Here is a 14,319-nt window from a genome sequence, read left to right as displayed (position 1 = left end):
TTCAGCACAACACACCCTCCCACATAAAGTGAGCAACTGAGAAGCAATGTGTAATATACAGGCAAGTGGTCAGTACTGTAGCTATAAGAAAGAATAACTTTATTGTCCTATAGCTACAGCTTTGAGAATAACTTCTTATTCCTTCTTTGTGGTGGCTAAAAATGGAAGCTTACTAAGTTCTGTTAACATGGTATGGGACATTGTATTTGAATTAAAAACAAAACCAAAAGCCCATCAATTTAAAAATGATCTTAATTTCGGAAGAAAGCTCTTGAAGAGTACTGCTAAGCAGTATTTTGCACTCATATAGATAAGATGCCCTTTCACCCTAATCCCTTTCAAAACACTGCTTTAAAAGTCATTCTTCTTCATGGAGCATAGATGTACAACACTGAGTCAGTATTTGATTTTAAAGCTAATGTGTGATCTTTTGATGTGGTTCCCAAAATAAAAGTTTAGCGTATGCTTCTGTTTATTGTTAAAGTCAAACATCAAGACAAAAACAAAACAAAACAAAAAACCCCTCCTTCTGTGCATTTGGGATATTGACTCTTGACCTATATGTTTCCAAGAGGACTAAATAACAGACAGCTTAACTGACAACTTTTTTTTTTTTTTTTTTTTGAGATGGAGTCTCACTCTGTCGCCCAGGCTGGAGTGCAGTGGCGTGATCTTGGGTTACTGCAACCTCTGCCTCCCAGGTTCAAGCAATTGTCCTGCCTCAGCCTCTCAAGTAGCTGGGATTACAGGTGCCCGCCATCAGGCTTGGCTAATTTTTTGTGTTTTTAGTAGAGGCGGGGTTTCACCATGTTGTGTTGGCCGGTGGTCTCGAACTCCTGACCTCAAGTGATTTGTCCACCTCGGCCTCTTAAAGTGCTGAGATTACAGGCATGAGCTGCTGCGCTCAGCCTTAACTGACAACTTTCATTTGGATTATGAACACAAGTAACTGCTGCTTCATGAATTCAGTAATCTGGCTTCTTGTCTCGTATTTGCAATTAACTCCCTTGGACAACTCATCTTACCTTTCTTTGGGCCTTACTTTCTTCATTCATCAAATAGGGGCTTTTGAATAGGTCATGGTTTTCCTACGTGACATCATGAGCCACCAAATAAAATGTGGATAGGGACAAATGGGAGTTTGTTTAATCTCATTTCATTCTTTCTTAAAAACATTTTTAATTTTTAATTTTTGTGGGTTCATTTCATTCTGATTCAGATAAGATCTCATTTGAAAAGAGTTTCACTACTGGAAACTGAAAACCAGAAAATATGATTTTTTAAAATTTTCCTTTCAGCACAAACACTCTAAATGATATAGTTAAAAACAAAAGATTCAATGGGGCAAAGTAATAGCTGCTGGGATAAGATGATGGTAACATTGTTTATGTGAAGCTGTGCTTATGCCCTAATTCATAAGAAGGATCATTTTGTTATTATTTAACTCAATTCAAAAACCTACATTTGATCAACTGAAAATTTCTCATAGCATGATGGTTCTAAAATTTTAAGAGCATTTGATGACAGAAATCAGTTTTTAATTTGCCATTTACTTTGTGGGCTAGAAATATATCTAAATTCTATAAAATGTCAACGTTAATTGGATAATTAAATGAAAAATAAATTAAAAGCCTGTGTTTATACCCCTGGTTTCAGAACTTATATATCTGAAGAGAGAGTAGCTGTTAATTTGACAATCATGCTGCTAATTTTGTTTTATTCAGACCTTTGCTGATAAGTAGCCTTAAAACATCAGAGGTTATGTTTTATGTAAATTATCGTATAGTTTGAAATGCTGTGTCTGATGACTTATTTACCACAGTGAAGATTTCTGCTAGGTACTAAGGTTGGCTAGGCTCTGCATCAGTGCTACACACATGTGATTTTATTTATTTAAAGATTACACTAATTACAAAGCCAATAAGGGCACATTGTAAAAAAAAAAAAATTCAGACATACAGAGTAGAAAGTGATTATTTCATTCAGCCACCTCCCAGTACATCCACTGTTAGCTGTTTGGAGTGTTTCTTCCTGGAACTTTTATATGCTTTTATAAGTATACCTACAACATACACACATAAGACCATTTTTAACAAAATACAAATCACATCATATTATACTTATTGCTCTGTACTCATCATTTTTTTTTTTTTTTTCTTGAGATGGAGTCTTGCTCTGTCGCCCAGGCTGGAGTGCAGTGGTGCGATCTCGGCTCACTGCAAGCTCTGCCTCCCAGGTTCACGCCATTCTCCTGCCTCAGCCTCCCGAGTAGCTGGGACTACAGGCGTCTGCCACCACACTCAGCTAATTTTTTTGTATTTTTAGTAGAGACGGGGTTTCACCTTGTTAGCCAGGATGGTCTCGATCTCCTGACCTCGTGATCTGCCCGTCTTGGCCTCCCAAAGTGCTGGGATTACAGGCGTGAGCCACCGTGCCCGGCCTGTACTCATCTGTTTACAGTAAGTATAGAACTTACAGTTCTATACTTGTCTTCTTTACTTTTTATTTTGTTTTTTGGGATGGAGTCTTGCTGTGTCGCCCAGGCTAGAGTGTGGTGGTGCCATCCCAGCTCACTGCAACCTCCGCCTCCTGGGTTCAAGCGATTCTCCAGCCTCAGCCTGAGTAGCTGGGATTATAGGCACCCACCACCACACCTTGCTAATTTTTGTATTTTAGTAGAGATAGGGTTTCATCATGTTGGTCAGGCTGGTCTCGAACTCCTGACCTCAAGTGATCCACCTGTCTCAGCCTCCCAAAGTGCTGGGATTACAGGTGTGAGCCCCTGCGCCTGGCCTATACTCATCTTCTTTATATGAAGAAGTGGGCCAGATATTAGAAAAGCCCAACATGAATGGCATTCACGTCATCAGTAATTTTTTACTGGCATTAAAAAAAAAAGGCCAAATAATTTTGTAGAATTTATGAAAAAATATGGTTGATCAGTGAATCCCAGACTTTGGGATTTCACAGAACATTGAAACTTGCCCAAAAGATTTTAGGGATAAACACAGAGCTGGCAAACTTTAATTCTGCTAGATAAGAACATTTTTAAAAAATCCACTATTACCAACATTATTCATAAAGAAAGAAAACTGAACTCCCTCAAAGTAGGAAGGGCAAGATTTAAAACTGAATACATTTAGTTTTATGGAAATTTACTTTCTTGCCCCTGCCTTTTTACATTTTGATACTGACTGATGAAAACTCTTATGTCATAGACTGGTACCAGTCGACAGACCAGTGTTTATAAAACCACTTTGGCTATTTCTCCTCCTTTAGAGAGGAAGCTAAGATGTTGTAGTAATAAAAGGGAGTATAGCAAAATGGCTAGGGCTAAGAACTTTGAGGCCAAATTTTGAGTTTGAATCTTAGCTTTCAATATGACCTTGGGCAAATTACTTAATCTCTCAACACTCTAAGGCCAGAGGAACTGTCCAGGTAAGCACAGGCCCAGCTGTCAACCCACAGATTTGTGGAGCTAAATAAATGAGTTGTTATTTTAGGTAACTAGGTTTTGAAAGTGGTTAGTTATGCAGTAAAAGCTAACTGATACATGTTGGATGTATCAGACAGGTAAAATTGACCAGATTCATTTAATAGCAGCTGAGAGAATTTTAGGATTCAAATTACTTCCAATTGGCTCACCAATATTCTAGGTCAGGGAACTAACACACATATATTTTGTTATGTCACAATTCTGTTTAAGAAAATGAACTTCAGAAATTTTACTTACTACATTTCCTGTGGACCTCTGCAACTAAATAAAAATTTCCATATCAACATCATTTTCTTAGAATAAATATTTCTCAATAATCATCAAATATAAGAAACCTAAGTTTCACATCTGAGCTTTGGAGTCTGATAGCCTACATGGTTCAGACTGTCTGTGTCTTATCCACATTCCCAGAAGATAAACTCCTTTCAATTCCATTATCTATTTACAATTGCTTCTAGATGAAGGCCATTCAGGATATTAGGTCTTTGAGGGAACATTTGCGTTGATGAGAAATTACAGGCTTCACTCTAAAATCATCCTGTATTTCACATGAACAAAGTGATTTCTCTCTCTCTTTTTTTAAATCATGGCTGGAGAGGATAATCTTTACATTTTTTTAACTAACGAAGGCTCAAATAATCATAGACAGTGTTTATGAAATTTGGTGCTGGTCTAGCTTCAGCTTGACTAAGACTCTGGATGTATAACACTAGTGTGGCATGTAATAAAGCATCCTATCACTGTGCAAGGGTATAGCTCTCTCTTGCTTTCTGTTGCATGAACCTGAACTACTATCTGTGGTGAATGTTTCATATCCTTTTTTTTTTTTTTTTTGTAGAGACAGGGTCTCCCCCTGTTGCCCAGACTGTAGTGCAGTGGCGTGACCTCAGCTCACTGCAGCCTCAACCTTTTGGGCTCAAGCTATCCTCCCACCTCAGCTTCTTGAGTAGTTGGGACTACAGGCACATGCCACCCTGCCTGGCTATTTTTTTTTTTTTTTTTTTTTTTTTTTGTAGAGACTGGGGTCTCACTGTGCTGTGCAGGCTGGTCTTGAAATCCCGGCCTCATGTGATCCTCCTGCCTCTGCCTCCCAAAGTGTTGGGATTACAGGTGTGAGCCACCATGCCTGGTCTGTTTCATATTCCTAATGACCAAGCCAATTTCACTGTTCATTTGATGGTTTTAAGAAAAATTTCTGTTCAAGAAATAAAACAGAGAAGATGTCCCATTAGAGCAGAAAGACAAGAAAAAGAGTTGTTGACATTGGGTTGTTTAGCAGTGGGCAGCTGTCATCTTGGTCACCATCAAGTAAATCCTCAGCAGATGTGGGTCATATGAAGGTTTTGGTTTTTGAGTGAAGAAGTCTGAGAAACAATATATTCAACACTTACCAAGTTGTCTTCTAGTCTTCTGAGATGGAGAGCAAAGGAAGGGGGTAGTGTAGAAAAAACAAATCCCAAGAATTCTGCACCACTTCTATGCATAGCACAATGAAGCAGCAATTAAGAAGAATGGGGAAGGAAGCTATAAATGTTTGGGACCAAAGAAACAAGGTGAGGATAGAAAATATGAAGATAATTAGAGAGTCTTCATGGTTCTCAGAAGTATAGATAGGTGCCACATGAAGAGGAAGTGGCATCCTTGTTCTGAAAAAACTCTTTAAAAATTTTTTGTAAACCAATGTTCTTTTCTAAACATGAATTAGAGAATGAAATTGTTTTTTGTTTGTTTTTGAGACAGGGTCTTGCTCTGTCACCCAGCCTGGAGTGCAGGGGTGCAATCACAGCTCACTGCAGCTTCGACCTCCCAGGCTCCAGCAATCCTCCCACCTCAGCCTCCGGAGTAGCTGGAACCACAGGCTTATGCCACCATGCCCAGCTAATTTTTTTATTTTTGGTAGAAATGGGGTTTTGCCACGTTGTCCAGGCTGGTCTTGAACTGCCGAGCTCAAGCTGTCCACCTGCCTTGGCCTCCCAAAGTGCTGGGATTACAGGTGTGAGCCACTGCTCCCAGCCTAGAGAATGTAATTAGTGTTCCTTTTTATTAGATGGGAAATAGGAGAATTATTTGCATTGTGATTGCTGAGTGGTTTTCAGAGTCATTTGCATATTATAGGTAATATTTTTAAGGGTAATACATTTTCTCTGCTGAAGCTGTTGTGAGGATTTTTAAAATAAAGAGTATTCTGGCTGGGGGTGGTGGCTCATGTCTGTAATCCCAAATGAATTGTCATTTTAATCAATTGTAATCCAGCACTTTGGGAGTCCTAGGCAGGAGGACTGCTTGAGGCCAAGAGTTTAAGACCAGACTGGGTAACAGAGTGAGACTCTGTCTCTACAAAAACATTTTTTAAAAACCCTGTAGTCCCAGCTACTCGGGAGACTGAGGTGGGAGGATGGCTTGAGCCCAGGAGTTTGAGGCTGCAGTGAGCTATGATTGTGCTGTTGCACTCCAGCCTAGGTGACAGAGTGAGACCCCATCTCCCCCTCCAAAAAAAGTATTATGAGTCAGCACAGTTACTTTATTATCATTCCAAATAAAATATTCTGGCCAGGTGCAGTGGCTCATACCTGTAAATCCAGCACTTTGGGAGGCTGAGGCAGGTGGATCACCTGAGGTCAGGAGTTCGAGACCAGCCTGGCCAACATGGCAAAACTCCATCTCTACTAAAAATACAAAAATTAGCCAGGCGTGATGGCGGATGCCTGTAATTCTAGCTATTTGGGAGGCTGAGGCAGGAGAATCACTTGAACCTGAAAGGCAGAGGTTGTAGTGAGCCGAGATTCTGTCACTGCACTCCAGCCTGGGCGACAGAGCAAGACTCCATCTCAAAACAAAAACGAAAACAAAACAAAAAAAACCAACAAAGTAAAATCTTCTAATCTATACGTGGCTTTTAACCATACTTAATGAAGGTGTTTTTTTTTTTTTTTAATTCTAAGAATGTTGGTTCTTGGGTGAAGTCTCTAGTCTTTTATCTGAGAGTTGTATATAAGTGCCTACACATAATCTGTCAAAGGTGTACTCACTTTCAGTCTAAAGATGATTTGTAGGTCCTGTCCATATTCCCACAGCTGCCATAAAACATATGACTAAATCATATTAGATTAACACAGGCTGGTATTGACAGCCCAGTGGGAACATATTGATTAGGTCCTCTTTCATGTTATTTGTTATGATTTTTCTTCTCAGTTTCATTTACTGGGAAGACACAGGGGAAGAGATTTCACTGGGAACAATGACAGTGCCTGTCACAAAATGTTCTCAATGTTTCCATTTGTTACTATGGCAGTGACAAAGAGGGTTCCAAATGAAAAGGTAGACCTGCTGTGACAAAGCACAGCAGGACAACAGGAAGAAATTTTTTCCTGACCTAGGAAATTAGGAAATCATACTTAGAGATTATAGAATTGTATCCATTTCCAAGAGTACAATCCTAGCACTTGGGCTTTTGAGGAAGAATGTGAAAAGATTAGTTCTATCAGGGCTGGGCAGTGACAAATAAAGAACAAATATCACAAAGTGCTTAAGACCTCCAAATAGAACAAGGAGCGATGCTTGTAGAGGCTGGAGGGATTTGTTACTGTCACTAAACCCGTGAGATGGAACTACGAATTTAATTTAATTTAATTTATGTACATTTGGGTTACTCATTTTTAAATTATACATGAAAATCCATGATGTAGTCATATATCTTTTTAGCTGGCTAAAGGAACACATGGCACTCTGGTACTGATATAGATAATTAGCACATGGTAGCTGGAGTGATACTTTATCCAAAACTTGAAATTTATGCAAAGAAAATTATTGTCCTTCAGAGAGTTAAATTACCACAAAGTGGACTAAAATATAGATATGCAAAGTCACAAAAGACAGAAATACTCTTAGGCCAGCAAAACTTGAAAGTTACAGGATGAATATATTAACCATCCAAATATAGAATGTGTCAATCAGAAAGAAGATATGTTAATTGGGCAATGAAGCGAAGAAAAATAAACTACATAGTAAATGTAAAAGTTGCCACTGCCTGAGATTCATTCCCAAGGTGGAAGGAGTCAACGACAATTATTTTATTAATTAATTAATTAATTTTTTTGAGACAGGGTCTCACTCTGTCACCCAGGCTGGAGTGCAGTAGCAAGATCTTGACTCACTGCAACCTCTGCCTCCTGGGTTCAAGTGAATCTCCTGCCTCAGCCACCCAAGTTGCTGGGACTTCAGGCATGCAACGCCATGCCCGGCTAATTTTTCTATTTTTAGTAGAGATGGGGTTTCACCATGTTGGCCAGGCTGGTCTCAAACTCCTGGCCTCAAGTGATCCACATGCTTCGGCCTCCCAAAGTGCTGGGATTACAGGCATGAGCCACCACACCTGGCTGATTTAGTACTTACATTTAAGTCTTTGATCCATTTTGTTAATTTTTCCATACGGGCAGGGCCTCAGCCTCCTGAGTAGCTGGGACTACAAGTGCATGTTACCATGACCAGCTAATTTTCTGTATTTTTAGTAGAGACAGAGTTTCGCCATGTTGGTCAGGCTGGTCTCAAATTCCTGGCCTCAAGTGATCCGCCTGCCTTGGCCTCTCAAAGTGCTAGGATTTCAGGTGTGAGCCACTGTGTCAAGCCAACAGCTGTTATTTCCAATCCCAGTAGAAAGGCTCCTGCTGGTGTGGAGAGGGAGCAGGGGGTTTTAACCAATGGATCTTTTAGTATTTCCAACTAACAAGACCATTTCTGTTGTAAGATAGATGCATCAGTTGTTAGATGGGTGCTATTGATAGGGACAGGAGGCAGGCAAATTTCTGGGCAGAAGAGGGTAGGTCTCTGGTGAGCGCCCCATCCTAAAGCCAAAAAGCCTAATACCATGGCCCAAAGTGAGAACTTACATCCTTGTTTTCCTGCTCAAATGTTGCCTTTTCCAAAATCACCCATGGCCCACCCCACCCACAATCCTGTGCCCATAAAAACCCCAGGCTCAGCCAACAGAGAAAGAAGAGGAGAAGCAGCTGGATGTTGTAGACCACGGTTGGACATCGGAGAGAAGCGGCTTGACTTCAGAGGGACAGCTTGATGGCATAGCTTTGGAGAGGAGTCTGGCTGGGGATGACCGGACTCCAGGGGATTATCTTCCTGCTTCATCCCCCTTTCAGCTCCCCTTCCTGTTGAGAGCCACTTTCATCGGCAATAAAATCCCCTGCATTTACCATCTCCAACTCGTTTGTGTGACCTCATTTATCCTGGATGCCGGACAAGAACTCGGGTGCCATGAGTGTGGGTGCAAAGGGCTGTCACATTGGTGACAATGGAGGGTCACTCAACTGAGCTGTTAATGCTTAAGCTGTCTACAGACAGCAAAGCTAAAAGGGCACTGTAACGCTTCCTCTGGGGATCCAGGGGTCACGGGCAGCTTCCCTTAGATGCTGCCACTGGTCTGGTATGGAGTTCGCTCTTACCAGTGCCCAAAAGCGCTCAGCCCAGCTCCTGCACCTGCTCACGTGTGCTCACCCTCCTGTGAGCAGTGGAGAAGCGAGTGAGTGAAGTTCGCTCCTGCTGGCACCAAAGTGGCTGGCTAGTTCCTGCGCCCACACACTGCAATTTCTGCCTGAGAAGGGCTTAGGGAAATATCCTGCTTCACTATTAAACAGCTGATTCATATAACTCTCTTATTTGGAGCCCATGCTAACCAAGCAAGTTTATCATCTGGCTTTCTGTATCTCTGTAGTGCAATCGATTCTACTGCTTAGCAAAAAGCTCTTGGTTGAAACTCACCAGGGACTACAGTTCTTGGATTCTCTTCCCTTTCAGTTTTTCTTTCTTTTCCTCAACAATCTTACCTTAGAGTCCCCAGAACCCTGTCAGATTACAACAGATCCTTTTCAATAAAGTAAGTCATCTACTCAGATAACAGGAAGATTCTCTGGCAAAACCAGCTTTTGTCAGGAAGGCTGGTCTGTGGTTCTCAGTTCTAATGGTGAGATTTACATAAATGTTTAGAGAAGCAGTATTAGTGTGGTGAGTAAAAGCACTGACTTTGGAGCCAGACTTTCTGGGTTTGAATCCTGGCTCTGCTACTCTCTAGCCATGAGACTATGGGCACATTATCTCACCTTTCTTTGTCTCTGTTTTTTTCATCAGTAAAATAGGGGTAAAAATAATCTACCCCAAGAAGTTTTTGTGAACACTAAATTAGTTAATATATATATAAAGTGTTTAAGATATTGGTTGGTTAGTAGGTACTGTATAAAAGTTATCTATTGCTATTACTTTGTAGCTTGATTCACATTTGACAGAATGTGCTAAAGATGGCAACATAAGTATTCTATTAATAAACTGACATTAGGATGTTCATCTCATTGCATGACCCAGTGTTTTGGGATCTGATTACCCTGGGAACTGAGTAGGTTCAAAGTGAGAAAAATGGCTATCTAATTGTATTACCAGTAAAGTCCTGCCTAGTTTCTACCTGCTTTCTACTTTCTCTATTCTGATTTCAACAATGTATAGTGAAATCCAGTGTCTGGAGCTTTGAAATGCTAGAAATGAATAAAGTGAGGAAGCTGCCCATGATTTAAAGAGGGTTTGGCAAACTATAGTCTGTAGGCCAACTCTGGCCTATGGTATGTTTTTGTACAGCTGGAGAGCTAGGAAAGGTTTTTACGTATTAAAAGTGCTGTAAAAAAACAAAACACAAGGAAGCAAACAAAACAAGAAGATATGCAATACAGCCTGTATATGACTTGCAAAGCCTAAAATAGTCACTATTTGGCCTTTAAAAAAGACGACTGTGGATCCCTGTTCTATACTCTTTTTCTTTTTTGCTTACCTAACTATACCCCAACAATAAATATAATGAAGTAGGATAAAAAGAGGCTGAAAAATCCTCTAACAAAAAAATCCCAATTGCTTTGATGAAGTAGTTTATTTATCGTTGTAACCACAATACAAATGGTAGCTAGCTGTTCCTACCTCAGTATCCTAAGAATGGCCTCTCCCTCCCTCAAAAAGTCTACATGTTCTCACCTAGTATCGGTAGCATTACAGATAGTTAGGTGTCTGTAACAGAATCTGTTGTTGCCGGGCCAGGAAGCCAAGTAACCCAAGGCCAGAGGTAGTGGCTATTTAGGTCACCATCAAATCTATGATGGCCTCATTATGTGTCCCACTGAATGTCAAAGAAATAGAATACTTCATGTTTTAAAGATTTTAAAGTACTTAAGTAATGTACATACAGTGTATAAGTTTAAAAGTTTCTAGACTAAGATTCCTGGTTTGACCAATTTCTAACCAAGAAATCACTAGGGTTTTCTTAATGTATTACAGAATATGGTTAAATTCAGAATAAAATATTTTAGCCTACATACATCTATAGCTCTAAAAAGTAAAAAATAGGAAAATTGGCTGCTAAGTACTCTAATATTATCAATAATGAAGACTTTCCGAGCAAGGAAATAAAAAACACAATCATAACAGTGAAGTAGAATGTTGTCTGTGGTACAGACTCTTTCCAAAGAACAAGGGCATGGGGCATCCTAATGGTTAATAGTTCATTTAAGACTGGGCATGACCAGCCTGCCCAACATGGCGAAACCCCGTCGCCACTAAAAGTACAAAAATCAGCCAGGTGTGGAGGCATGCACCTGTGGTCCCAGCTGCTTGGGAGGCTGAGGCAGGAGAATCATTTGAACCCGGGAGGTGGAGGTTGCAGTGAGCTGAGATTGCACCACTGCACACCAGCCTGGGAGAAAAAAAAAAAAGACTGGGCATGAATAGTTTTAGAGAAAGAAAAATAAAAATTTATGTTGGCAAAAGACTATTAAAATAAAATATTAAGTTAAAACCATCACACAAACTTAAATAAGTTTCCCATGATTCAAATTATCCTCCAGAGAAAAAGGGACAATCATCAGCTCCACTTGCTTGCTTTTTTTTTTTTTTTTTTAAATTAACCTGGTCTGGCTTGATGTTAAGAGAAAGAAACAGAGACCAGGAAAGACCCCTTTGGGGTATCTGTGAGGAAGCGAAAGCTTTCTAGAGACTATAAACTAGCTTAATTAACTACACTTAACTAGAAGGAATTTAGACTTATCAAAAGAATTTTTGAATCAGATTTTAGATCAATCTAAGTCATCAAGCCAAGTCTTCTATTGTTTTGATTTTATTTTTGAGTATTCATTACCAAAATCATTAGTTCACATAAAATTTGCCAGTTCTTATTGAGCCAAAAATAGGCAAAAATTTAACCCTTTTTAGTATAACAAACAACCACTATTGTGTTTGAAACAGATGTTTTAACCAAAGGATTATCATCAAAAGACATCATCCTTAGTTATTAGCATACTGTTTAATATTCATCACAACTTGTTTTAAAGAACAAAAATGTGTTAACATTTAAGCCTGAAGGGCTATGAATATACTATATACTGTACTTGATGCAGTTTGTTTATGCAATTTTCTGACAGATACAATTAATCTTGTGAAAATGACTGGGGTACAGCATAGTAGCAAATTATCTTTTCCAAACACATATTTTTCCTCTGGTAAAACCCTCTAATACTGACAATGATAGAAGTATATGGAAAGAACTTCAGAAGTTAATTATTTAAAAGAAGAAATTAGAAGTTACTAAATGAATAAATCTTGGTTATATGGTAGAAACAAGGGTTAAAATGTTTTACTTGTAAGTAAGAATGAAATAAATTAGTCTGTACCTCCAACAAATGCATCTCCAGCTCCATTGGTATCAATAATTTCTTTCTGGTCTTGATCCAAGACAGCAAAAGCAGTGACTTCACTTTCTGCAATTAGAGCCAAAGAAAGGCAGAATGACTTCTCTTTGTAACACTCAATACAAGCTCACCCAGTAACATCTGAAGCTCCTTCATCACTCATCATTCAAAGAGAGACAGGACATAAGCTCCATATTCTGTACAGGGGCACTTGGGAACTAAGGTGCAAAATCATCTGCAAGTAATACTTTTTTGGTAACTTTCAGCATACAGATGCTGCTGTATACGTCTTATGAGAGTTATACCTAGGTAGTTCACACTTTTTTTTGGAGTGACTACAAATGGTAGCAGTACCTTTCTGGACAGTGCAAATGAACAGAAGCCATAAACTAAAGGAAGTGTTGGTATGGATTGGATCATGGGTTTCTAAAAAAGCTTCGAGCCTGACTATATTCCTGGCAGTGAAATGTTGGATACAGTTAAAGAGTTGTAAATTTAAAAAAATATAAATAATGAATATTGGGTGTTTCTTTATAGAAAATCACAATGGCACAATAAAAACATTACTATTATTCTGTTAAAATACTTCTTCCCAATGTCAAGAATTTTTTATTTTAGTTGGTTTACTAAAAATAACCTAATCTGGTTATGTTTTGCAAAGAAGTCACTATCTGTCAACTGGCAAAAGGGAAAGCTACAACTGAATGCATGGGCAGAACAAAAGGGACAGTGCAACGGGATTTTGCCCTAGAGTAGTCTGGACCAGGGCTTACTTGTTTTGACTACAGAGTAACCTAATTTAGTACTTTAAACATGGCACATGACAGTGGAATGGACTTATCTGTCATGAAATCTGGCTTACAAGATACATCTGCAAACGATTGGACAGTGCTTCTTATTGGGGGCTGGAACTTCTGAAATCATAAATTTGCATCCCTATGGGGACAGAGTGGCTAAAGACTCTTAAACTTCAGTCTCGTTTAAGATCAAGAGGGAGGCAAAAGGAGATCTTGAGAAACTTAAGAAAGGTATTAATAAAGAGCATAGAGAATCTTCAAAAGCATATTCTGTCTAGCTTTTGCTACCTGCTCTTAATGGATACTTTCAACAAGAGACATAAATATGTTAATGAAAATACTCTCCTGGAATGACTGATATTCAAGAAGAGGACTCATTCACTTAGTCAATCTTTTTTAAAATCTTTTTTTTTTTTTTAGGTCTTGCTCTGTCATCCAGGCTGGAGTGCAGTTGTATAATCATAACACACTCCAACCTTGACCTCCTGGGCTCAAGGGATTCTCTCTGCCTCCTGTGTAGTTGGGACCACAGACACGCAGCACCACAGCTGGTCAATTTTTTGCTTTTTTTTGGGGGGCGGGTGGGTAGAGACAGGGTCTCACTTTGTTGCCCAAGCTGGTTTCAAACTCCTGTGCTCGAGCAATCCTCCTGCCTTGGTCTCCCAAAGTGCTAGGATTACAGGCATGAGCCACTGCATCTGGCTTAAACTTTTTTTCTTTGAGACGGAGTCTCATTCTATTGCCCAGGCTGGAGTGCAGTGGCGTGATCTCAGCTCACTGCAACCTCCGCCTCCTGGTTCAAGTAATTCTCCTGCCTCAGCCTCCCAAGTAGCTGGGATTACAGTCATGTGCCATCACGCCCAGCTAATTTTTGTATTTTTAGTAGAGATAGGTTTTGCCATGTTGGCCAGGCTCGTCTTGAACTCCTGACCTCAAGTGATCTGACTGCCTCAGCCTCCCAAAGTGCTGGGATTAGGTGTGAGCCACAATGCCCAGCCAAACTCTTTAAGTAACTGAACTTTCCACATTTTGTAACATGAGGGCCTATATGGCAGTTGACAAGATTTTGATTAATTGAAAGTTATGGCACAAATATCCAGAATTACATTTTCTAGAGAGTATATATAGCACAAACTACTATGCAGGCCAAAAAAAAAATGTAAGCAGACTTTATTAGAAATACTCAGGAAAGGTCTGCAGTCTGATTTAGGAAAAGGTCTGTACCATAAATACTTATAAAGAAATCTGGTTTTACTACTTCCAAGTACAAGCTACACTATACAGGGAAATAACAACTATA

The 14,319-nt window shown here is 39.5% G+C and overlaps 1 protein-coding gene across 11 annotated transcripts in view; it reads right to left on the bottom strand.

The window, feature by feature from the left end:
- The window catches only part of ADK (adenosine kinase), a 558,070-nt gene that overhangs the window by 26,817 nt on the left and 516,934 nt on the right, over positions 1 to 14,319 (bottom strand). For all 11 annotated transcript variants that reach the window (NM_006721.4, NM_001369123.1, NM_001202450.2 and 8 more), the window contains one exon: positions 12,205 to 12,291. In NM_006721.4, the coding sequence (NP_006712.2) occupies positions 12,205 to 12,291 (87 nt within the window). The remainder of the gene's footprint in view (positions 1 to 12,204; positions 12,292 to 14,319) is intronic.

Source organism: Homo sapiens, chromosome 10 (assembly GCF_000001405.40).
Source record: "Homo sapiens chromosome 10, GRCh38.p14 Primary Assembly".
Lineage (NCBI taxonomy): Eukaryota > Metazoa > Chordata > Mammalia > Primates > Hominidae > Homo > Homo sapiens.
The sequence above is the reverse complement of the archived record's forward strand: the minus strand, read 5'-3'. Positions and strand labels throughout refer to the sequence as shown.